Source organism: Homo sapiens, chromosome 5 (assembly GCF_000001405.40).
Source record: "Homo sapiens chromosome 5, GRCh38.p14 Primary Assembly".
Taxonomy (NCBI): Eukaryota; Metazoa; Chordata; class Mammalia; order Primates; family Hominidae; genus Homo; species Homo sapiens.
The window spans coordinates 168,161,695-168,184,434 of record NC_000005.10 but is presented as its reverse complement, the minus strand read 5'-3'; the positions used below and the strand labels follow the sequence as shown (position 1 = coordinate 168,184,434).

General features: G+C 46.4%; 1 protein-coding gene and 1 non-coding gene across 34 annotated transcripts in view, besides 1 other annotated feature; both read right to left on the bottom strand.

Moving 5' to 3' along the window:
- Positions 1–22,740, bottom strand: part of TENM2 (teneurin transmembrane protein 2) — a 1,285,129-nt gene that overhangs the window by 79,723 nt on the left and 1,182,666 nt on the right. For all 33 annotated transcript variants that reach the window (XM_047417418.1, NM_001395460.1, XM_017009661.2 and 30 more), the window contains one exon: positions 21,678–21,824. In XM_047417418.1, the coding sequence (XP_047273374.1) occupies positions 21,678–21,824 (147 nt within the window). The remainder of the gene's footprint in view (positions 1–21,677; positions 21,825–22,740) is intronic.
- Positions 9,880–9,949: a silencer, noted in NCBI's record as "silent region_16593". NCBI's record gives its function as "represses an Ori minimal core promoter by ATAC-STARR-seq in GM12878 lymphoblastoid cells {active_cell/tissue: GM12878}" and the evidence as "EXISTENCE:reporter gene assay evidence [ECO:0000049][PMID:35858748]".
- MIR12125 (microRNA 12125) lies at positions 18,506–18,590 on the bottom strand. Its single transcript, NR_162139.1, has one exon. It is a non-coding gene; the product is annotated as a microRNA 12125 (primary transcript).

Here is a 22,740-nt window from a genome sequence, read left to right as displayed (position 1 = left end):
CCTACATTTACTTTTCTAAGTTTCATTTTGTGACAGAGTGGTGGAGATGGCCTCTAACAAATCACTGCAGGTGCTGTGGATGGCTCTTCTAGTGTCTGCACGCAGCTGCTGGTTGGGGACTGGTCAGAAGCTCAGATTTAAAAATAAGCTGCACTCTTTGCAGTCATGGTTTCACAGAGGAACCACCAAGCACCAAATCTACCTTTCCTACTCATTGGGCCAGGAAGCCATAGAGTGGATTGGTTAAAAACATGAGCTTTGAAGAGTACTCTCTGACCCATCGATAGGATGTTCAAGAACAGGCAAAGTTAATCAGTGATGATAGAAAGTTAGAAGTTGTAGTTACCTTGATGAGGAGGTATTAGTTGGGAGGGCACAGGGAAACTTTCTGGGCACTGGGCATGCTCTTGATCTTCATCTTAGTCACCTGGTTCCCCAGGTGAATTGACAAAGTGAGGGCAGTGATGATTATACCCAAAGGAGTGCTGGGAGGATCCACAGAGGTAATCCACGAAAGGTCCTTACAACAGTTGTGAGCACCTTGTCACCTACTAAGTGCTTCTGAGTCATTTCTATGTTTTTTTTTTCTTTTTCTTTTTGAGTCTTCTTGGCATCATATGGGTTTTTTTTTTACCTATACAGAGCTAGGTGCTTGCCAAGCTGTCACTTCCCCAAGGAAAGTCTGGGTAGTCAGGTGGTGAACCCCGTGACTCAGGGTCGTTTTTGAGATCAGCTAATAATGATGAAGAGGTGAAAAATTAATGCAGCAATAAAAAGGAGGGAAGAAGCAATAAGTTGGGGCAAGAAAGATGAAATCTGGTTGTTCGTGATGGAAATGAAGAAGGTGCAGGGGTCCTGGAGGGCACTTAATGCTGGCCAGCAAAGGCCAAAGGCTCCTGCTGAATTTGAGATAGAGATGGAAAGAGTTTCCTGAGTAAAAAGGGGGAACCATAGGATTGGTTTTGCCTTGGGAGTTAGTTTGTTTTGAGGTAAACTCCTGCAGGGCATGCCTAAGGTATGCAGCACCCCAGTCAAAGGGCATTTTTTTTTTTGTGCTGGGCCCCTGGCTATATAAACAATTTGAGTCACCCCAAATCAGCAGGTCAGCACCATTCTGGAAGCTTGGTTTGCAAAAGAGAGAGTCCTTTGGCCAGTGCTTGCTAGGCTGCCTGCTGGAACTGGGGCTGGCCGTTAGGCCTTAGGATATCCCATAGATGCAAATGCCAAAACAATTTGGGGCATCTTATTGACCCTACATGCACAGGAGTGGGGGTGAGGGGTGGCAGAGGGTCAAAGAGTACCCTGGGCCGGGGGCGGTGGCTCACGCCTGTAATCCCAGCACTTTGAGAAGCCGAGGCGGGTGGATCATGAGGTCAGGAGTTCAAGACCAGCCTGGCCAACATGGTGAAACCCCATCTCTATTAAAAACTACAAAAATTAGCCAGGCATGGTGGCGCGCACTTGTGGTTCTGGCTACTCGGGAGGCTGAGGCAGAAGAATCGCTTGAACGCGGGAGGCGGAGGTTGCAGTGAGGCCCAATTGCATCACTGCACTCCAGGCTGGGTGACAGGGTGAGACTCTGTCTCAAAAAAAAAAAAAAAAAAAAAAAGAGCACCCTGAAGGGGAGGAACAGGGATCAGGGCTCACGTGGGTCCTAGTCTGGACTGAGGTGCTCCTCCCAGTTAGCATTGCTGACTCTGGCCAGTCCCTGACACTTGGGGAGCAACTTAGAAAATTTCAAGGGAGTCATCCCAAAGCTCAGGGCCCGCTGAGATGCAATGCTTGGTCCCTGCCCTGCCCCATTTGCCCAGGGTGGTACTGGACTTTTGGCTCAGTTTGAAAAACAGCAAACAAACACGGGCTTTAGAATTAGAATGGTCTGGCTTTAAAACCTGGTCTATTATTTATCAGCTGTGTCATCTTGGGCACGTGACTGAATTCCTGTGGCTCAGTTTTCCAATCTATAGAATGGACTTAATAATGCTGACTGCACTGAAATGCACAGAGGTGCTCTAAGAAGGTGCGTGTGAAATGAGATGATGAATGTATAGCACTTAAGATGGAGGCAAAGCTCAATACATGAAGGTTATTCTTAATGATATTTCCTGCTCTCCACGAGAGAAAGGTACTGTTCCATTTGCATTTTACCCTACGCCTGCTGACAAGTTGGAAGTGAGGATAATTGAAAGTATTTGGGCTTGATGTAACTAAGAAGTGAAAGGAATAGGCAAGGCTGACTTGATTTAACCTGGCAATATGAGATTAGTTCTTCATTGCCTCTGTAAGGTCTCCTGCATTGCGAACCTTTTAAAGCAATAGATTGGCTGACAGGATGCTCGTTTGGAAGGTTTCACCTGCCATTAATACCCTGGCTGCCTGATGAACCGTCGCTCCTCAGGCATCCTCCTTCCCTGCACAGAGCAACGGCCATTCTCAAATATTGCAAGAAGTAAAACTGGGCTGGGTGCGGTGGCTCACGCCGGTAATCCCAGCAGTTCGGGCGGCTGAGGCAGGTGGATCACCTGAGGTCAGGAGTTCGAGACCAGCCTGACCAACATGATGAAACCCCGTCTCTACTAAAAATACAAAAATTAGCTGGGTGTGGTGGTGCACACCTGTAGTCCCAGCTATTTGGGAGGCTGAGGCAGAAGAATCGCTTGAACTCGGGAGGTGGAGGTTGCAGTGAGCTGAGATTGCATCACTCCACTTCAGCCTGGGTGACAAAGCGAGACTCTGTCTCAAAAAAAAAAAAAAAAAAAAAAAAAGAAGTAAAACTGTATTTGCACTCCTTCTGGAAGAAGACCTGTTGGAAGTTTTCCTCCTACTTCTTGCCAACTCTTTTGGTCAGACTCTGACTTCCAAGTCCAGAGATCGTTGTACCAAAGCACCTTCTGGCCTTTCTTATGACTTAGTCATGGAAGATGAATCATGTCTGACCAGAGATCTGGCAGAGAGGAGGCCCCAGTGAAAGCTGTTTGCTGGCTTTTCTACTCTTTAGGATGGATGTGGGAAAAAAAGCACGGGCTGCTTAAGAAAATCAAGGCTCTGCTACCAAAGGCAGAAATCTGATTCAGGTAAGGCCTCTCTTTAATAGACTGTACCTTGAAGCCACTGGGGGAAATGTTTGACAAGGGGATTATAGTGTTGTCCAGTTATTTTTAAAAAATGGTTCTTCACCAGCAACTAATGGACAAAAACCAAAAACAAATGCCATCAACAAAACCTTTTAAACCAATGCTTCTCAAATTCTAATGAGCATCACAATCACTCAGGGACCTTGTTAAAATGTAGATTCTCATCCCGTGTCCTAAGGTGGGGTTTGAGAGCCTGCATTATTTATGAGCTCCCAGGTGATGTCTATGTTGTTGCTCTGAGCACCGTATTTCCAGTGGCTAAGCTTTAAACCAGCGTTGCTGAAGGTGTGCTCCCTGACTACCTGCTCCGGTATGGTGTTAAGATGCCATCAACCCAGACGTACTGAATTCCTGAGACTAAATATTGGGAACCTGCATTTTTTTTTTTTTTAAATTTTAAGATGGAGTCTCACTTTTGTTGCCTAGGCTGGAGTGCAATGGTGCCATCTCAGCTCACTGCAACCTCTGCCTCCTGGGTTCAAGTGATTCTCCTGCCTTAGTCTCCTGAGTAGCTGGCATTACAGGCGCCCGCCACAATGCCCAGCTAATTTTTTTATTTTTATTTTTAGTAGAGACAGGGTTTCACCATGTTGGCCAGGCTGGTCTCGAACTCCTGACTTCAGGTGATTCACCCGCCTTGGCCTCCCAAAGTGCTGGGATGACAGGTGTGCACCACTGTGCCTGGCTGGGAATCTGCATTTTAAAGAAGATTCTCAAGAATGATTATTTTGCTCACTAAAGCTTGAGACCTCTGTTCTGAGTGACTGAGAAAAAGCCTTCAAATATCCACAGCAGTACAGCTGAGGGGCTACAACAGTTTTTCCAAACTCTGTCTCCTGCAGGATGTTAATACGCATTCCCTGAAACACAAAAGTGGAGGTGGGAGGGGAGGATCTGCCATCAAATGTAATTTGGGAGTCAGTTAAACGAAGTTAAACTTTACAGCAGGACTTCCTGGAGGCTTTGATATATGGATACACGTTATGAGTCTTTAATATTGTCATGGAGTACGCAGCATTTCCTGACCATGGACCCTTCTGGCTCCGAGCCTCTCCCTGCAATTGCATCTAGTGCCATGCACGTTGGAAAACAGTTCATGAGAACATAGGGCTCTAGGTTTGGGGGCTTTGTTCTTGGAAGGACCAGCCATACCTCCATCTACTCAATAGTCACAAGTGGCAGTCTCATCCTTGATTGACTTCCTATAAAGTGCAGGGCTTTTGGTGATCAGGCCCAACACAAACCACGTCGGTACTACTAGCATATCAGTTCAGAGCCCCTGTCCTCCAGCTCCCAGTGTCTCCCAAGGCCAGTGCATTTTAGAGTGGGGACCCTGTGCTAGGTGACAACATCCTGGCGTCAGCAAGACAATGGAACATTAATGGCAACCATGTCTAATGAGAACCAATGGTTGGTGCTCAGGAGGAGCTTCCTGGGTGCCTGGCACTGGGTTAGGTACTTTAAACGCATGCCTTTATTAAGACACCACCAGAATCCTGGGTGCTATTAACATCATTATTTACAGGTGAGAAATGGGAGACTTCGAGATTAAATAATTCACCTATGGTCACCCTGTTTTTAAGTGGTAGGACTGGGTTTTGGACCCTGTTTGCTGCACTCTGGAACGAAATCCTACACAAAGCTGCCATGTAAGGTTGTGTGACTGTTATGCTGAGTGTCCAACACACAGGAGCCTGTTGTACCCTCTGCCATGACATGTTTGTACAAGCATGTACATATGAGCTCTTTTATCTAAGACAGTTAGTGAGAGTAACCATTTACATACCTAGTACAGGGTGATTTATGTTTTGGGAAACTGGGCAGCAGAATGTTTTGGCCAGCCCTCTGCCCCAGCTCCTAGCTTCATCCAGTTCACACTTTTGACTTAAGTTTACAATTAAGTGCTTGGCCCTCTGCCAGCCACTTAAGTCCCTCTGTGCTTGCTCAGCCTGTGCTGTGCTTCGATCCAGCCAGCATCCAGTCATGCTCTCAAGAACCCTTTGTGGTGGGTTCTATGATCCTCATTTTGCAGATAAAGAAACTGAGGTTCATAGAGCTTAAGGGCCTTGCCCAAGGTCACAGTGCTAGTAAATGATGGAGAAGTGATTCATGATTCACATGTTGGTTGTCTACCTCAAAGCTTCTTTTTTTTTTTTTTTTTTTTTTCAGGCAGAGTCTCACTCTGTTGCTCAGGCTGGGGTGCAGTGGCTCGATCTCGACTCACTGCAACTTCTGCCTCCTGGGTTCAAGTGATTCTCCTGGCTCAGCCTCCCAAGTAGCTGGGATTACAGGCACCCTTCACCATGCCTGGCTAACTTTTGTATTTTTAGTAGAGATGGGGTTTCACCATGTTGGCTAGCCTGGTCTTGAACTCCTGATCTCAAGTGATCCATCCGCCTCGGCCTCCCGAAGCCTCTTGACTTCTGGAATTACAGTGCTGGAATTAAAGTGCTGGGATTACAGGCGTGAGCCACCATGCCCAGCCTCCTCCAAAGCCTCTTGACTTCTGTTCTCGGTTTTTCACAGGGGGCTGGAAGCAGTCACAGCCATATATAGGTACCCTCTGAATGTCACAGGACTTATGAAGGGAAATACTGAAGCTTCAGAAGACATGTTCATTTCTTAGTTGTTTTTTCTGTCTCTTTCCCCTTCCTTCTTTTCCTCTCCCTGTCCCGCCCCTGCTGACTCTCAACCCAGAAAGGGCCTCTGGGAATCATCTCATTTGATCAGAAATTTCCCACCTTGGACAGCCTCTGACAGGCCTCTCTGGCACAGTCTCACCCTTGTTAGCCTAGAGCCACGTTTTTTATACCTGGGGGATTTCTATCCTGGCTGCAGCTGTCTCCCCACTTTGCTGTTACAAAAACCACTGGCAACAGAGAGCAGGGGCCTCTGCTCTTGGCCTCTGATTTCCCCAAATGCTTGCCCTCTGCCTGCTGTTCCTGGCCTCTCGCTGCCTGGTCTACCCTGCTCTGTTCCTCATCAACCTCCATTTCAAAGAGCCCACTGACAGGTCACACAGAACTGAGCCGACGGCCAGTGCAGCCGAGGCCCGGCAGGGGGTGGCAGCCTGGTGCCAGACAGTGACCTGCTGGGGCCCTCAGAAAGAAAAGGGGCTGTCACCACCGACACCTCAGAGCAACAAGGTGAACAGTTACTTTCCGCCTGAGGGGAGACCTTGTCCCTGGGGGGAAGATGGGAGGCTTGGCCCCAGAGTGGAGAGGATTAGTAGGGGCGCATGATGCTTCTCCTTCTGCTGCATAAAGAAATGCCCCAGACTGCCAGCTGGGAGAAGGGCCCGGACTTGGCTATTCTACGAGCTTCCTGTGGAATTAGAGGAGTTGGAAGTACTAATTTCTAAACGGTGTCATTCCTAAACGTGGCTGCTGCCATGTTCCAAGCACTGTGCTTAGCACTCGCTGGAGATTTTCTCGTTTATTTTGTTTTATACTTATTTATTTTGAGAGATGAGGTCTTGTGCTGTTACCCAGGCTGCAGTGCAGTGGTGCAATCTTGGCTCACTGCAGCCTCAAATTCCTAGGTTCAAGAGATCCTCCTGCTTCAGCCTGCTGAGTAGCTGGGACTATAGGCACCCACCACTGTGCCCAGCTAATTTTTTAATTTTTTGTAGAGACAAGGTCTTGCTATATTGACCAGACTGGTCTCAAGTTCCTGGGCTCAAGCAATCCTCCTGCCTCAGCCTCCCAAAGTGCTGGGATTACAGGCATGAGCCATTGTGCCTGGCTGTCATTTAATCTTCGCATCTACTCTATGGTGTAGATAATAGGAATTAGTATCATACTGCCAATTATGATCACGGGATCTAGAGGCAGCTGATCTGTGTTCAACCCCAGGTCAGCAAAATATTGGCTGTGTGGCCTTGGGCTAGTTACTTTACCTCTCTGAGTCTTGGTTCCTTCATCTGTAAAATAAAAATAATCACACCAGCTTAATAGGGCTGTTGCAAAAAAATCAAATAAACTGTATGCAGAAGGACTTGTTGTATAGTAACCATTTGTTTACTTCCACTTTTCAGATGGAGAAACCCAGTCCTAGAGAGGGTCAGTTACTTGACTAAGGTTGGGCAGCTGCTGGTGGGTGGGGAAGCTGGGATTCACACGCAGCTGGCCCAGCCTTAGACTTGCTGTTCTTCTCCCCTACTCTATGCTTCTCCAGCAAGCTGTAGTTTGGGAGGTCGGAGTTCACCCAAGAACAATCTGCAGCTGCCTCTGCCTTTCCTCTTGTTTTAAAGGAGGATTATGAGGCTTGCATACCTACTGCACCAACCCATACGAAGTCAATGAACAGGATGAGGCCAAGTCAATAATACAGATGAAGAGCAGTACAACCATGTCTTCATGCCTTACTGAAAAGCAAAGATGTATTTTATATCTGGATTTTCTTTGCACTGATAAAACGATATCAGCGGTATATAGTGACTTGGGTGTCACTGTATGCATGTTTTTTGAAATCCTAAAATGAAATGTATTTATCTCCCAATCATCTATTGAATAAAAGACAATTGCTTCTGATCCCAAACACTTCTCGTGAAAGCTTTTACTCATTCAATTCGTGTAACAATGAGTTGACCAAGGCAGACAAGGACCCTGTGATTATGGCCCTAGATTCTAGAGGGGGAAAATAGACAATAAACAATGAATGCATGATGGAATTACAGTGACAGTGTTCTGAAGACACTAAGTAAAGCAAGGTAAAGGGCTGGACAGTGATGAAGGAGGGGATTTTCTGCTTTAGACAGGGAGGGCAGGGAGGGCTTCTCTAAAGAAGTGATGTTCGTGTAGAAACCTAAACGAAATGAGGAAATGAGTCATGGAAACATCTGGAAGAAGAACACTCTGAGCAGAGGCAACAGCAAGTGCAGAAGCCTAGGGTGAAAGTGTATCTGTGAGTTGTAGGAATGGCAAGATGGCAGGTATGGCAGAGAGAGGACGAGGAAGAGAGAGAGGAAATGAGATCAGCATGGAAGCAGGGACTCACTAATGCAGAGCAATGGAAGCCACTGCGGCAACCTGGGTGCCATGCTACGGGAGATGAGAGGCCCTGGCAAGGCTTGAGCAGGGGTGTGATAGGATCTGACTTCTGAAAGGATTCTTCTAGCTGCTCTGTGGGGAACAGATTAGAAGCTGGAGGACCCATAGTCCAGCGCAGAGAAGTTGTTGGCATGATCTGAGTGGAGGTGGAAAGCTATTAAGAAATCATGGCCTTAAGGATTAAGAGTAGGGAATGGAGAGGCCAGGTAAGGGGGCATCCCAAAATCTGTGTGGCAAGATGCATAGACAAAGAGGGCATGTCAAAGGCCTATGCAATGGCCTCCCTGGCAGACGGTGTGCTAGTTGGGTAGTGATGATATTAGTGTTGCTCGTCAAAGGGCTAAGACTTTGAGTGATGGACCCCAGGTAGGCTGGGGTTTTCTCCCTGGTTCTACACTCCCTGAGCCACAAGCTTTCTGAGTGAGCATGGCAGAAGTAAGAGCAGGAGAAGCTTGCTCCGGGGACTGCTGTTTCTCTTTTCTGCATCTGTCTTCTCCATGGATTCCTCTTTTCCAGCATAACCCCAGACACCTAGTGGCTTTGGACTCTGGCACACCTGGCATAAAAATACTTTCAGAAAAAGGGTCTGAGAGAAGAATGAACAAGACATTTAGAATCAAAAGAACTGGGCTCCAATCCCAGCCCTTCCACTGTTTGACTCTGGGCAAGTTAACCTCTAGGCCCTCAGCTTCTTTGTTAGTTAAATGAAATCCTCTAAATGTCAGCAATGAATGCAAAGATTTTTGTAAGCCTATGTGGCTAAAGGGAACATGACAGTGACCCACCCAGCTTGGGGGTCACCGGTTCATGACCTCTGAGGGAAGACAGCACTCATTCCAGAGCCAGTGGGGATGAAATTGAGGGAAATGTATTATAACAGGGACCAAAAGATGGGTTCCTGATTTTGAAATGTATGTATTATTTGAAATGATGAGTTTTTGATTGGAAGGCAGTGTATGTTTTTAGAATCTCTGAACTCACATCATACAGGGAGATGCAAACACTTAGAGCAGCCATTTAAGTAAAGGGGCATTAAGTTGCTGTCTATAAACTTTCTAGTCAAACCTTACAACAGGCCAATGAAGTTGATATCATTGTTTCCAGTTTACAGATGAGAGAACTGAGTCTCAGACACGTTAGGTCCTTTGCTCAAGGAAGCACAGCTAGTAAGAACCTGAGTCAGAATGTACAGCTAGGTCCGTCTGATTCCAAAGTCTGTGGACCCCATCAGTAAATGGCACAGCACCACCTGTCCTAAGTGGGGCAGGGGGCATGGGAGAAGCAGCAGAATGTCATAAAAGGCAAGGAACCAGGGCCAGCTACCACTGCTCTCTCCCAGCAAACTCCTTCCACATTTTTCGTTTATTCCAACACTCTTGAAGGAGGAGGATGGATCCCGGGAAGTTGGAGCCCTGACTCCTCTCCGGATGACAAGCTTCTGTGGAAAGGACCTCAGTGAACCCAGGAATGTACCCAAGGTCCATATGCTAATGAAGTGGCCACCGCCTCAGGATGCAGAGCTGTTTGGCCTGTCTCTCCTCATCAGCTGGCCCAGGGCTGACACGCTCGGAGGAATCCCTCTGCCAGCACTTGAGCTTCCCTTCAAAAGGCACGTATTACGCTAAGTCAGTGGTTCTCAACGCAACAGCATCATCTGGGCACTTGTGAGAAATGCACATTCTTGGGCTTCCTGCCAGACCTACTGAATCTGAAACTCTGAGGGTGGGGCCCAGCCATCTGTGCCTGAAGCCTTCCAGGTGATTCTGATGCTCACTGACGTATAAGATGTATACGAACCGTTGTGCTGACTGTTTTGCATCCATTAACTCATCTAAGCCTCACAGTATCCTATGAGGTAGAAATTAGCCCTAGCTCCACTTTACAGAGGACAAAGCTTAAATTTAAGCTCATATCTTGAGGAAGTGGAGGAGCTGGGACGTGACCTGAAGCTCAAATCCCAAAGCCTCTTGACTACCCTGCCAGGCTGTCTCCCCTCCCTGGGAGAAAGAATGCCCATGTGCAATGGAGGCAACACAACAAAAGGCCACGCCTGCTTCTCAGCTGTGGTGTGTGTGTTTATAATAACTCAAGCAGATATATCAGCCTTCTGTCTGAGGGGCAGGCATGGTTGCAATTTTGAAGACTGAGATGCTATGTTGATGGGAGGCACAAACAAATATGATGGCTGTATTGCGCTCTGCCCAGCACTGCACGCAAACCCCATTCTAGCCTCATCCTCCTCCATTCTCCATGTGGACTAGGCTGCAAGGTACCAGGCTTCTCAGAGGTCCCCACACAGGCATTGCTGTTCCTTGCCTCTGTGCATTTGCCGTTCCCTTCGTTCACAATGCTTTTCCCTCCTTCCTTGCCTAATTCCTTTTTATCTTTTAAGATTCAAGCTGTACCTATTTTGGAAGTCTTCAGTGCCTCTCTTGTGAGCGGCCATGGTCTCTTGGCCTTACTTCTATTATGGACCCTTAAAATGTGGCTCTGCAGTGACAGCTTTAGTGTGTATTTTACCTCCCACCAGACAGAGCATCTTTATGGGCGGAGTTTGAGTCTTATTCATTCACATGCCCTGCCACAGAGTGGGGGCTTGGTATATGTTTGTTGGATGAATAAATGATTTTGGTGGTGAGTGGTCTGTCCAGGAGTGTGGCTGGTGTGGGGGAGGGTGTTTTCTGTCATTGCCATCAATGACAAGAGGTCTGAGCAGGGTTGCAACTAGGAAGAGGTGAATGAGGGGCTGAGGGGGCGAAAGTGAAGGCGACACTCACTGTGAGGTACCCTAGGCATCTCCACTCATTCTAATCTAGGTCCCAGGTCTGAAATAGATCTTGGCTCCAACCAGTAGTGGCAGGCACCCATTCTCCTGAGTGTCACTGAGTCCTTTTGGTGGCAACGCAGCATTGACAAAAGCACACTGGATTTTGAGCCAGGAAACCAGGACTCCAGTCTCAGGTCTGCCCTGCCTGCTCCTTGGCCTTGAGTAAGTGGCTTCCCTCCTTGGGTTTTGCAGCTGCCGGGGACTCTATAGTTTAGCCTTTTTGCATCTGACATTTCCAGACTCCCATAAATGAAATCATCCTGTGATTCTCATAAATGAAAGAGGTAGTGTGCCTCAGTGCACGTGGCCATGGAGTTCCAGGAAACTGAAGGAGGTGGGGAGAGCTCCATGATGACATACCCTGAGGACAGGCAGAGGAGGAGAATCACCTTGGAAAGGTTTGGTCTTGGTTGTGAGTGGGGAGGAAGAGAAGCATTAGGCACAGAGGTTTGGGGGAACACCTCGCAGTTTTCTCTGGATTTGCATTTGGCCACAGAGTTCTGGCCCCTCTCCAATCCCCCAGAGCTCTTGGCTGAGAAGATAGAAAGTCAAAGAAAAGAGCACAGGCCTTGGGCAGCTGCTCTTGCTGTGCTGCTTGCTAACACCTTGCTATTTAAAGTCCAGCTGCTCAACTCTCCCCTGCTCACCCCCTGGCATTTCAGTGCCTAAGTGCTTTGTGGCAAAAATGCATTCCAAATCCAAAACCGGAGGGAAAAGCTAACGCCGATGGTATTTTTAAGCATGCTGCAAAATTCGTGTTTCTGAGGGGCGGAGGTTGTTCAAGCACTTATGCTCTGCCTTGCTCTGAGCCCAAACACAACAAACACTCAGGTGCTGTGAGGGGCCCAGAGGAGGGTTCTTGACCCAGGTTCTGAATCCTGGCTTGGCTATGTTTTCGCCGTGGGAGCTTGGACAAGCCACTTGTTCTCTCTGGCTCCTAGTTTCTGCTTCTATATAAAGGATAATGAAAGACTCCCAGGGCTCTTGTGGGGATTGTCATGATTTATTTAGGCAATGTGGGTGACGTTTTAGCAAGGGCCTGGCCCTTAGTAAGGGCTCAATGCCTTAGGGTTTTGGACATCACGTCCTTTCAAATCAGGCCCATGGACACTGCCTGTTTTGGGACCCTCTGGTCCCTCAGACAGATGTGTTCCTGGGACATTAAATGTCTATATCGGATTTCTCAGCCTTGGTGTTATTGACATTTTGGGTGGGATCATTCTTTGATTTGGGGCTTTCCTATGTGTGTAGGGCATTTGGCAGCAACCCTGGCCTCTACCCACTGGATGCCAGTAGCACCTCCCCACCTCCCCACCACCATGACTCGTGAATGCTTCCAGTCATTGCCAGATGTTCCTGGGTGAGCGAGTTGCCCCGGTAGGGAACCACTGGTCTGGACTTGGGGGAAGACTGTGGGAGCAAGAGAGCTAGTGATGGCACGAGGACCTTGCCTCTTTATTCAAATGCTGGTCACAGAGACCGGGGGATGGCAAGGGTGTGCCTGCCACCATCTAGGGCAAGGCTCTGGCCAAAGCACAAATACAGGAAGCCAACATAACGCTATCAATATCACCTCCTTGCCACCAGTGAAATCTGCGTTTTCATCCTTTAATTCCCTAAAATAAGTCCATAGTGATTTACATGATTAAAATTTTTTTTCAGATTATGCATTTTCATCACAATTTCATAATGGATATTTGATTTGTCATCTAATCAGGGGGAAAAAAACATAATCCCTTAAGAGACACTTAATAACCATTTAAACTAATAAAGACTTGATTAAAAAAGACTGAAAGTGCTGTGTTGGGTAAATTATAAACTTTAAACCCCTTTTTTTAAAAAAGAACACAACTAATTCAATGGTCAATTACATGTACCAGGAAAAGGTTTTCAATGGAAAAGTTTTGTCTTTGAGGTGTTTTTTTCTAAGGCTTCCTTGCAGCAGCACACATTCTGTACTTGTTTGAATCTTCTTCAGAAACACTGTCCAAATTTTTTGAGTGTTTTAGAAAAAAGGAGCCAATGGTTTTAAAGGAGAAAAGCCATATATCATGGTGGTTAGCTGAAAGGGCTATTCTGAGTCTTAACTTCTTGAGCCTTTGTATCCTTATCTGTATAATGAAAATAATATGATGAAATAGACTCATTGAACTTACAGTCTAGTGTGAAGAAACAGACAATCTGCAAGAATAACAGCGTGAGAAAATTTAGGAGTGTGATATTTCCATAAAGGAAACACTAATGGTTGATGGGAGAGACACAGAGGAAGACTTCGTAATAAGTCCTTCTGAGGCATTTGAGCTGAGAACTGAATGACTACATTGAGCCAGTGATACAATGTGCCTTGACTGAGCATTTCCACCTTGCACTAGCAAAGACCCTCGGGTGGAACTAATCTTTGCACTTGTGCAGTCTAAACACCGGCCAGAGTGGATGAGGCAGAGCTTCCGGAGAGGATGGGGGAGGACAGGTCAGAGACAAGGCAGGGGATATACAGAGGGCCCTCTAAGCCAAGGTGAAAAAAACAGCTGATTTTGATTCTAACTCCATGAGAAACCCTTTGAGAACATGGAATGATGAGATTTACAATGTATTAGGTTGGTGCAAAATTAATTGCTTTCAATGGCCAAAACCACAATAACTTTTGCATCAACCTACTAAAACACTCCCTCTGGCTGCTGTGTGGAGGAACAGAGAGCAGACGGCAAGAGGAGTGCAGGGAGACCACTTGGGAGGCTGTTCCCGTAACCCAGGTGCAGAGCAAGCTCAGCACAGTGCTTGGCACATGTAAGCTCTCAAAAATCTTACTGATTATTATTTTTATATGCAAGAGAATTCCTTCCTTCCTTCCTTCTTCCTTCCTTCCTTTCTTCCTTCCTCCCTCCCTCCTGTCTTTCTCTCTCTCTCTCTCTTTTTGAGATGGAGTCTCGCTCTGTCACCCAGGCTGGAGTGCTGCAGTGGTGCGATCTTGCCTCACTGCAGCCTCCGCCTCCTGGGTTCAAGCGATTCTCATGCCTCAGCTTCCTGAGTAGCTGGGACTACAGGTGTGAGCCACTATGCCCGGCTAATTTTTGTATTTTTAGTAGAGACAGAGTTTCACCATATTGGCCAGGCTGGTCTCAAACTCCTGACCTCAAGTGATCTGCCCTCCTTGGCCTCCCAAAGTGCTGGGATTACAGGTGTGAGCCACCGTGCGCAGCTGGTTCTATCTTTTTTCTAAACCTCAGTAGCATAAGAGAAAACTGAACCCCTACCTTACAGTTTTCTAAACAGAAGATTCTCTAGTCAAATATGCCCAGGAAGTCAAAGATCTTATTTCAACTGGAAGAGCCAGAATAACTTCAGATCCCTGTTGCTATGTGTTCCCTGAAGATCTCAGTTGAGGCTAATTCTGCTTCCCTCCTAAAGAAGAGAGACCCAGCATCTGGCCAGCTGGCAGTGTCCTCAAGGCCAAGTTTTCCTCCTAAGCATTAGAGACATTGCTTTTCTCTCTGGGAGCTAATCAGGGACTCTGTTTATGGCTCCAGCTACATTTGCCACAAGGTCTTTGGACTGCAAAGGGAATCCTCATCCAACCCAATTAATAGCTCAATATTGTATTTTTAAGCTGTCCCCCACCCAACCAATCCATCAACACGATTGGGATACATTAATCAAGGCATTTACAGTGGGTTCACCAAGCTTTGTGTCTCATTGGAGGAAGAAACTGGACTATTTGGGCATGGGAACCAGAACCCTTTTGGAGTCCCTGAAGTCCCTAGCTTGGCTCTGCTAAATGCACAGACAAGGTGAGTTATTAATTAGCAAGTGAGATAAATGCCGGAAGAGCATTCCTGAATCGTGTCAAACCAATTTGGATGGCTACGGGATGGGGAGGGAGCGGGAGGAGGCAGTGGGCGAGGGGTGAGTTTTGTCTGTTCCAAGTGCTTTGGACAGACTCCAGTGTTATTTCTCCTCATTTAGACCTGGCTGGAGTGCCTTGGATGGCATGCCCAGAGCTCAGGCCAGGATCCACGTCTCTTAACCCAAGGCAGCCTCCTTTGGAGTGAACCAAGGAACCGAGCCTTGCAGATGGAGGTAGGGTGGGAAATACTGCTCTGCAGAGAAGCCAGAGTGGAGTGCTTCATTTAGAGAGGGAACTGCAGTAACTGCTAGTGACCTGAAGAGCCTCTACCACGGGTTACTGATCACACGGATTTGTGGCTTTGAGGACACTCCATGGAGACGAGCTGAAGAGCCAGTCCTTAACAATGGGCTGCGCTTTCTCTCATGTCATGTTCCTGACACCCATACACGTGACAGTCCCTTTGCTATGCTCCCACTGAACTATTGCCGTCTAATAAGATGGTCCATCTCTGTCACCTCTCACATGCTGGACTGTAATAATAATAATAACAATGTGTTTATCCATCTTTGTAGATGGATAGTGAGCTCTTTGTGGACATATGTCATGTTTGCTTTAGTATTTCTAAAGGCTTATTTTCAGGGTCTAACATTTAGTAAACCCTCAACAAATGTTTGTTAAACCATAAATGAATAAGCTAATGAATGGATGGATGGATGGATGAGTGGATAGACGAATTCATACCCTAATGACAGAGAATTAAAGGTTTTTAAACTTTGAAACAAACATCAGCCAACTCTCCACCCAAGAATGGAGAACTTCTAAATCATACTGAAGTCATTCACAAAGGACCTAAACATAAAGATATCTTCATGTCTTTTTTTTTTTTTTTTTTTTGAGACAGGGTCTCACTCTGTCGCCCAGGCTGGAGTGTAATAGCACAATCACGGCTTACTGCAGCCTCAACTTCCTGAGCAAGCGATCCTTCTACCTCGGCCTCCTGAGTAGCTGGAACTACAGGCGCATGCCAGGATGCCTGCCTGGCTAATTTCTCTATTTTTTGTAGAGATGGGGTTTCACCATGTTGCCGAGGCTGGTCTTGAACTCTTGAGCTCAAGTAATCCACCCACCTTGGTCTCCCAAAGTGTTAGGATTACGGGCGTGAGCCACCATGCCCAGACTTCATGTCTTTTCAGCTACTTATTTCTTCCTGAAATAAAATTCCCCTCTCCTCACTGCACTCCTGTGTTCTGGGGATTTTAGGGGAAAGGGTTTGGGGTATAAGCACTATGACATTAGGCTGGGTGAGCCCACCCAGGGAACACCATTATTTTAAAAAGTTTATCTCAAAATGTCATCTGCAGAGCAAACACACTTGTATCAGACACTCTGGGGTGCGTGGTAAAAGTGCAGACTCCTGCATTCTATGTCTGACTAATAAATCAGAACCTCAAAGGTGGGGGCTTAGAAATCTGACTTTTAAACAAGCCCTCCACACAGTCACGCAGCACTAAAGTTCAATAAGCACAAAGTTAGAATCTTTGTGGTTGTGTACACTGGAAAAATTATTGGTTGGGTTCCATCTATATGAATTCAGTCTCCTTTCTAGAAAATAACATTAATATTAATAATGTTAATGCTAGCAGCAGCCAACGTGTGAGGGCATCTATGAGCCAGGTGTCTTGTAAAATACATCACATGCATTTTCTCACTTAAACTTCACACCAGCTAGTGACATTGGCATTGCCATGCCTATTTTACAGATAAGAAAACTGAGACTTTGAGAAGCAAAGTGACTTGCAGAGCTGGAATACAAAGGCTGACTCTGAAGCCCAAGCCCTCAATCAATTATGATGATACAGTGTCACCTGTTCAGAAACCAGGGACATGAAAGAGAAGGTGCAAAACATCTTTCAGTGCTGTGTTGAAACGGAACGAGGGGAAAAGACATCTCTCCTAGTTTAGTAAGGAAGAAAGTGATGCGGGGTGACGGGACAGGCTCAGCCTAAAAAGGCTTCCTCCTACCCTACCTCCAGGTGATGTGGTTATGACATCACCTCCCTTGGTCTCCACTGTCACCGCTGCCCACAGATGGGAGAAAGCATCTCATAGGATTCCACAGGAGCTTCAGACTCACTCCGATGCCGGCTTGAAATGATGGAAGGGCTAGGGCTCCTGACTCTAAGTTCAGGGTGATAAAGGGGAGTGGGGAAGAAGTAAGGACTGTCTCACCAGGCCAGACAGTCTAACAACGCCTCCTCACCTTGCAGTTCCCACTTTTAGAGGAAACCTACACCCTCTCTCCTACCCCTGGCTGTGATGAACTAAATCTCACACCTCTGTCTTGGTGGTGATAATTAAATATTATCCGCCTGTCACTTGGTGCACATGTTGTGTGTATTCTCAGACTTTAATGAGCTGGTATTTGTCTTCTGTAAGCAAAAATATTTCTTTGAGTCTCTTCTTTTTCAAATTGGGGTGAGCAGTTCAAGTGAAGATCTCTCACTATTAAAAAGACAGTCTGCCAGCTGCCGTGTCTGTCTGAACCATTTCCACTTCTTTTTAGTGGCCATGGGCAGGTGTGGCTTGTCCCTTCAGAATCAGCCATTGCTTCCTGAGGTTACATGAGTGGCGGTCACATGACTGGGGGTGTCTGGAGACTTTGAAAGCCAAGGGGGTGAGAAGGCAGGGAGTTGGCATAAACTGTTTTGGTGGGGATATTCTAAGGCAGCCTTCTCCAACAGGGATTTTCATCTCAACACTGCTGACTACAGAGCATATTTGAGTGAAAGTTTTCTCAGTTCTTCCAAAGGAGTTATTTTATCCAGTACCATTCTAGATGCATAGGAGAGAAGTTAATTCATTACATAGAATGGATGGCTTAGGACAGTGGTTCTCAAAGAGGACCTGCATCAGCGTCCCCTGCGTCAGCACTGCTGGGATATTTACTAGAAATTCAGTCTTGCACTGCCCTCCCCAGACTTAGAGAATCAGGAGCTCTAGGAATAGGGCTTAGCACTCTGTGTTGAATCAAGGTGGTTTTGCTGCATGCTGAAGTTTCAGAACTACTAGTGGCCATAAAGTATTAGGGCTTAATTCTCTCATAGAGGAACCCAGGTTGAAAAAAGGCTGTTAAAGGTTTCAAATATCTCTATCTGTTATTTGTATCTATATCTATCTCAGTTTAAAATAAAAAATACATATCCCTTCAAACAGATTCTTTTTTTTAAAGTAGAGTGTTTCTAGATGGAAAAGTGATTTGTCTTTTCCAGTCCACTTTGGTAGATAGCTCTATTATTTTGCTCGTTCATGAAATTTATAACAAATGTGTTCATTGCTGCTGCTCCCCGGGTCTGCATTCATGTTCTGCCCGGGTGCCTCTCTGACCCACTGCCAGGTTTATAAACTCACATAGCCCTTCCTGATAACTCACGAAGCAGGACAGAGACGAGGGCAGAACTCCCATCCCCACCCCAACCAAACAAAAAGAGTGATATAATTAGTGTGCTGCAGGATTGAATCTGGAGTTGATGAGGAGCAACCTTAATATTTATCAATAAACAGCAAAGTGCTTAGCACACCTCCTAGGGAAGTCACTAACCATAAAAAGGATACTCTACACTGAGGAATCACCTCCAAAAAAAGAACTCAGTTAATTGTGAATTGCTTATGCCAGGTGAGAGAGAATTGGTGTCTACCCCTCTCACCTGACATAAGCAACTCTGAATTAACTGGGAGTTTCTTTTCATAAACACCATGCAGCCTTTTTTTTTTTTTTTCTTTGTGGTTAATTACTTCCTTGGGAGGTTTGCTTTAACAGTTCCCGTAACAAGGCCATTATTGTCTTTAGCATAATCACCACTGCCTCATTTGCTTTTGTGCCCTGCCTTTGGACTGCTTTGTCTCTGCCAGCCGGGGGGGGGGGGGGGGTTGGGGGGGGGATCCTGAATTGTGCCTGGTGGGCAACCCTTAGGCCCGGGGACCCTGTGAGCCTCTTTTAGCTCCATCACTTCAGGATTTTGGTTTTGGCCGGGTGGAAGCTGGGATCAGGGGTAGGGCTGGTGGGGAGGGAGGTGGGTAAGGCAGGGTATGCTGGGGAGACAGTCCCCCAGAGTTTCCTCTCTCCCCTCTGTGTGGCATTCCAGCCATTTGTTATGCTTTCAGCTGCTGACACCAGGAACGGGGAAGGGAGCCAGGAGAGCAGCTCCTTTCTGGAAGTAGAAGCTGATCTGTAAGCAACCGCTGTGCTCAATGAAATCGCCAGGGAGGCAGAAGGAAAAGCAGTGAACCTTACCAGCAAAAGTCGTGCGATTCTGACTTGAAAAAAAATGCATTATGTAGTTATGCCTTAACTTGTTAAAAAATGAATTAAAGTGACTTCTCTTTGGCTCTGTTTCAGGAAAGAGAAAATGAATGAATGGGAGCTCTGTAAACCACATCAGGTCTGTAAACTGTTTTGATTGTGTACTCCTATCAGTGTATGTACATCTGTTTATTTACAAATTACATACAGGCACAATGGCAATCATAAATTATGGAAACTGCAAAATACCCATTAAGAGGATGAGAAAAAATAAAAATAGAATATCTAATACTCTCATCCACCACCCCGATGGATTCCACCCTGCTCTGGACACCACTGAAAGGACCTGTTGGGGCCATGAAGGCAGTGGCTGACTTTGACTTGGTCATTGATATCCCTAGAATTCAATGACTGGTCCAAGGTGGCACTAAATACATTTTTGTTAAATCAAATGATTGGACTCATGGATCTTCCTACACTCTGAAACAACCTCTGCCCCCAGTGAATTCTGATCAGTTAGTAATTTTGATGGGGGTGGATAACATACCTGTACTGAAGTCTACGGAACATTCCACAGTATTCTTAGGAGATTAGGTGGCCCACATGCTAACCCAACCTCATTTAGCCCCAGAATCTTAGCACTCCATCAGGAAGGAACATGGGGAAATTCAGCTCAGAGGTTTAGAACAGGAGACAGAAAACTTCTCCTGTAAAGGGCCGGAGAGTAAATGTTTTAGGCTTTGATGGCCAAGTGGTTTTTGCTTTGACTCCACTCTGACATGGAGAGTGCAAGCAGCCCTAGGCCAAACATAAACAAATGGGCATGGCTGTATTCCAATAAATGGAGAGGTGTGGGTTAAGGGGTACAAAGTGTCAGCGATACAAGATAAATACATTCTGGAGATCTACACATAGCATAGTATCTATGGCTAACAAAGTAGTGTACACTCAAAATTTGCTAAGAGGGTAGATCTTACGTTAAAATGTTCTTACCACAAAAACTCTTAAAACCAAAAAATCACCCCAAGACAATAATCACAAAGAGAGCAGTGTGGCAGGCCAGGTCTCACCACCAGCTGAACAGGCAGGCCTCCATGACAACTGTTTTGGCACTGAATGAATGGTTAGGTTAAATATTAAAGGCGGAAAGAGCCAGCGCACTTACACAAAGGCTGGAATGTAACAAAAGCTCACCAAGAGTCTTGCCTAGGCCTTTCCTGGGCCTTGAACCTTCACAAGATAATGAAGAAATTCTCATGCTCCTCATACCAGGACCCATTTAGGATTAAACAAGTTTTACTGGGAGTCTAAAGGAACTCCCCAGACCTCCACACCTTAGCTGGAGAAAAGATAAGGGTAATCACCCCCGGCACCAGGACCCATCTAGGCTAAGCAAATTTACTGAGGCTCTGGAGGAAGGTGTCCAGGACCCAAACCTTAGTTATAGATTAGATGGAATCAATCATTTGTGTCTTCAGATGAATGCACACTTACATGTAGACACATAGCTTAGAAGGTATATACACACTGGAAAACTTTGTAATTTAGAGATGGCCTGGTGAATTATCTCTGGCCTTCTCCCTGTACCTGGGAGAGTTTATTTCTGGTTACTTTCCCAGTGTGTCTGCATCTTGTTATTGGACCTTGAAAACAAGCAGCCCAACCCTTGGTTCAGTCAATAGGAAGAAACTTTGGGAAGCGATGGACATGTTTATGGCCTTGATGGTGGTGATGGCCTCCCAAAGTGCTGGGATTACAGGTGTGAGCCACTGTGCCTGGCCATATACGCAACTTTTTATATGTCAATTATACCTCAATAAAGCTGTTTAAAAATTTATAAACATCAAAATTTGAATTTCACATAACTTTCACATTATCAAATATTGTTCTTTTTAATGATTTTTTCCACCAACCATTAAAAATGTTAAAACTATTTTTAGCTTACAGGCCAGGTTTGGTCCATGGACCATAGTTTGCCAACTACTGGTTAGAAAAGACGCTTTGGAGCCACAGCTGGGTTTGGGTCTCAATTTTACTAATGGTGGTTGGATTATCTCGAAAAAGTTACTTAATCACTCTTCAGGCCTCGGTTTCCTCATCTGTAGAGTGACATCTCAAAGGGCTGTAAGGATGAAGGCAGCAGGCATTGCTTATGACAGCTTTGTGCGTTAGGCATAGATTGTCATCCTCATTGTCACCGACTGTTATCCGCAGCCCTGAAAGTTCTGGCAGGACTGGTGACCCTGAAGGCAGCGCCAGGGCCCAGCCACCTTTATGTGGCAATGGGCACTTGGGAATTCTCAGCCAGTATCAACCCCCAGTGCCTCCAGCCGGTGTCTCCCAGAGATCCCCCCTGGCATAAGGACACCTGTTCTCTGCTGCATTTGCTTCAAAGAAAATGTTACAACAACATTTGACAATAGTGCAGGGGAGGTCTTTCCGAAGAAAAATGACTTATGACAAAAGCATGGACAACGCTCTGCTCTTAGGGGCTGGGAATGAGAAGACGCGTGCTCACCTCCCTCATTATCCTTGTTATCAGCACAGGAAGTTTCCATGGCAACGTTGCATCCGGGCCCTCTCCAGCCGGTCTGGCAGACACACTGCCAGCTGTTCTGACCCAGTGTGCATCTCCCGTTACCGTTGCACAAGTCAGGGCAGCCATCTGGTTGGAGAAATGGAGAGGATGAGAAGGAGGGACGTGAGGCCGCGCTGGGGAAGCAGGGGAGCCATGCAGAGGGGAGCAAGGCCGCAGGGCAGCCGCTGGGCCAGCCTCACAGTGGGGCCCGCGCCTGCCTTCCACAGAGTCAGGGGAGCAGGCAACGCATGCAGTAGCAAGACACAGTGGGGTCACAGATGCAGGGGATCCCCAGTGACAACTGACCTAGGTCAGAGGCAACCTTCCCAAAGCGGGGAGTTCAATGCACATCCCAGACAACTAAACCAGTGCTGAGCTGACAACCAGACTAGCTAGGCTGTGGTTTCCAGCCAATAGCTCAGGATTGATGCTACTGAAAAGAAGCTTTTCTTTCTCTCTTTTTTTAAGAAGTGCTCTTCTGTAGAAGAGAAAAAATTCCCTATCAACCCAGGATGGAGGCAAAGTGCCCGCCATCTTTCAGAGTTTTAAAGATATATTTACATAGGATTATCATGAGCTTCTCATGACTGAAAACTGGATGGTTCTGCTGGGCTATTTTCATATGCTTGTACAGGTAATATTTAGTTTTAAGGGGCACTTAAAGATGTTGGCTGCTTATCACTCAACGTATTTATGGCACAATTTAAAAATACTGCAGGATTCGAAGGCTGTGGAGTGGATAGATGCTGGGTGCCACGAATTGGGGAAAGATAGAAGAAAAAATATATGTGCTCGGGGAAGGGTGGTGGGGTAGGAGTAGTTCTTATTTTGTGGATTTCTTTTCCTTTATTGATGTGTGTGTGTGTGTGTGTGTGTGTGTATACATGCGCTCACGTGTCTGTGCAAAATTGGCTGCCTGTGTAATTTTCTAATTACTCCAGGACCCAAAACAATTGCAGCCAGCACTCTCCTGACCTGAGTTTGGACAAAGGGAGACTGGGGG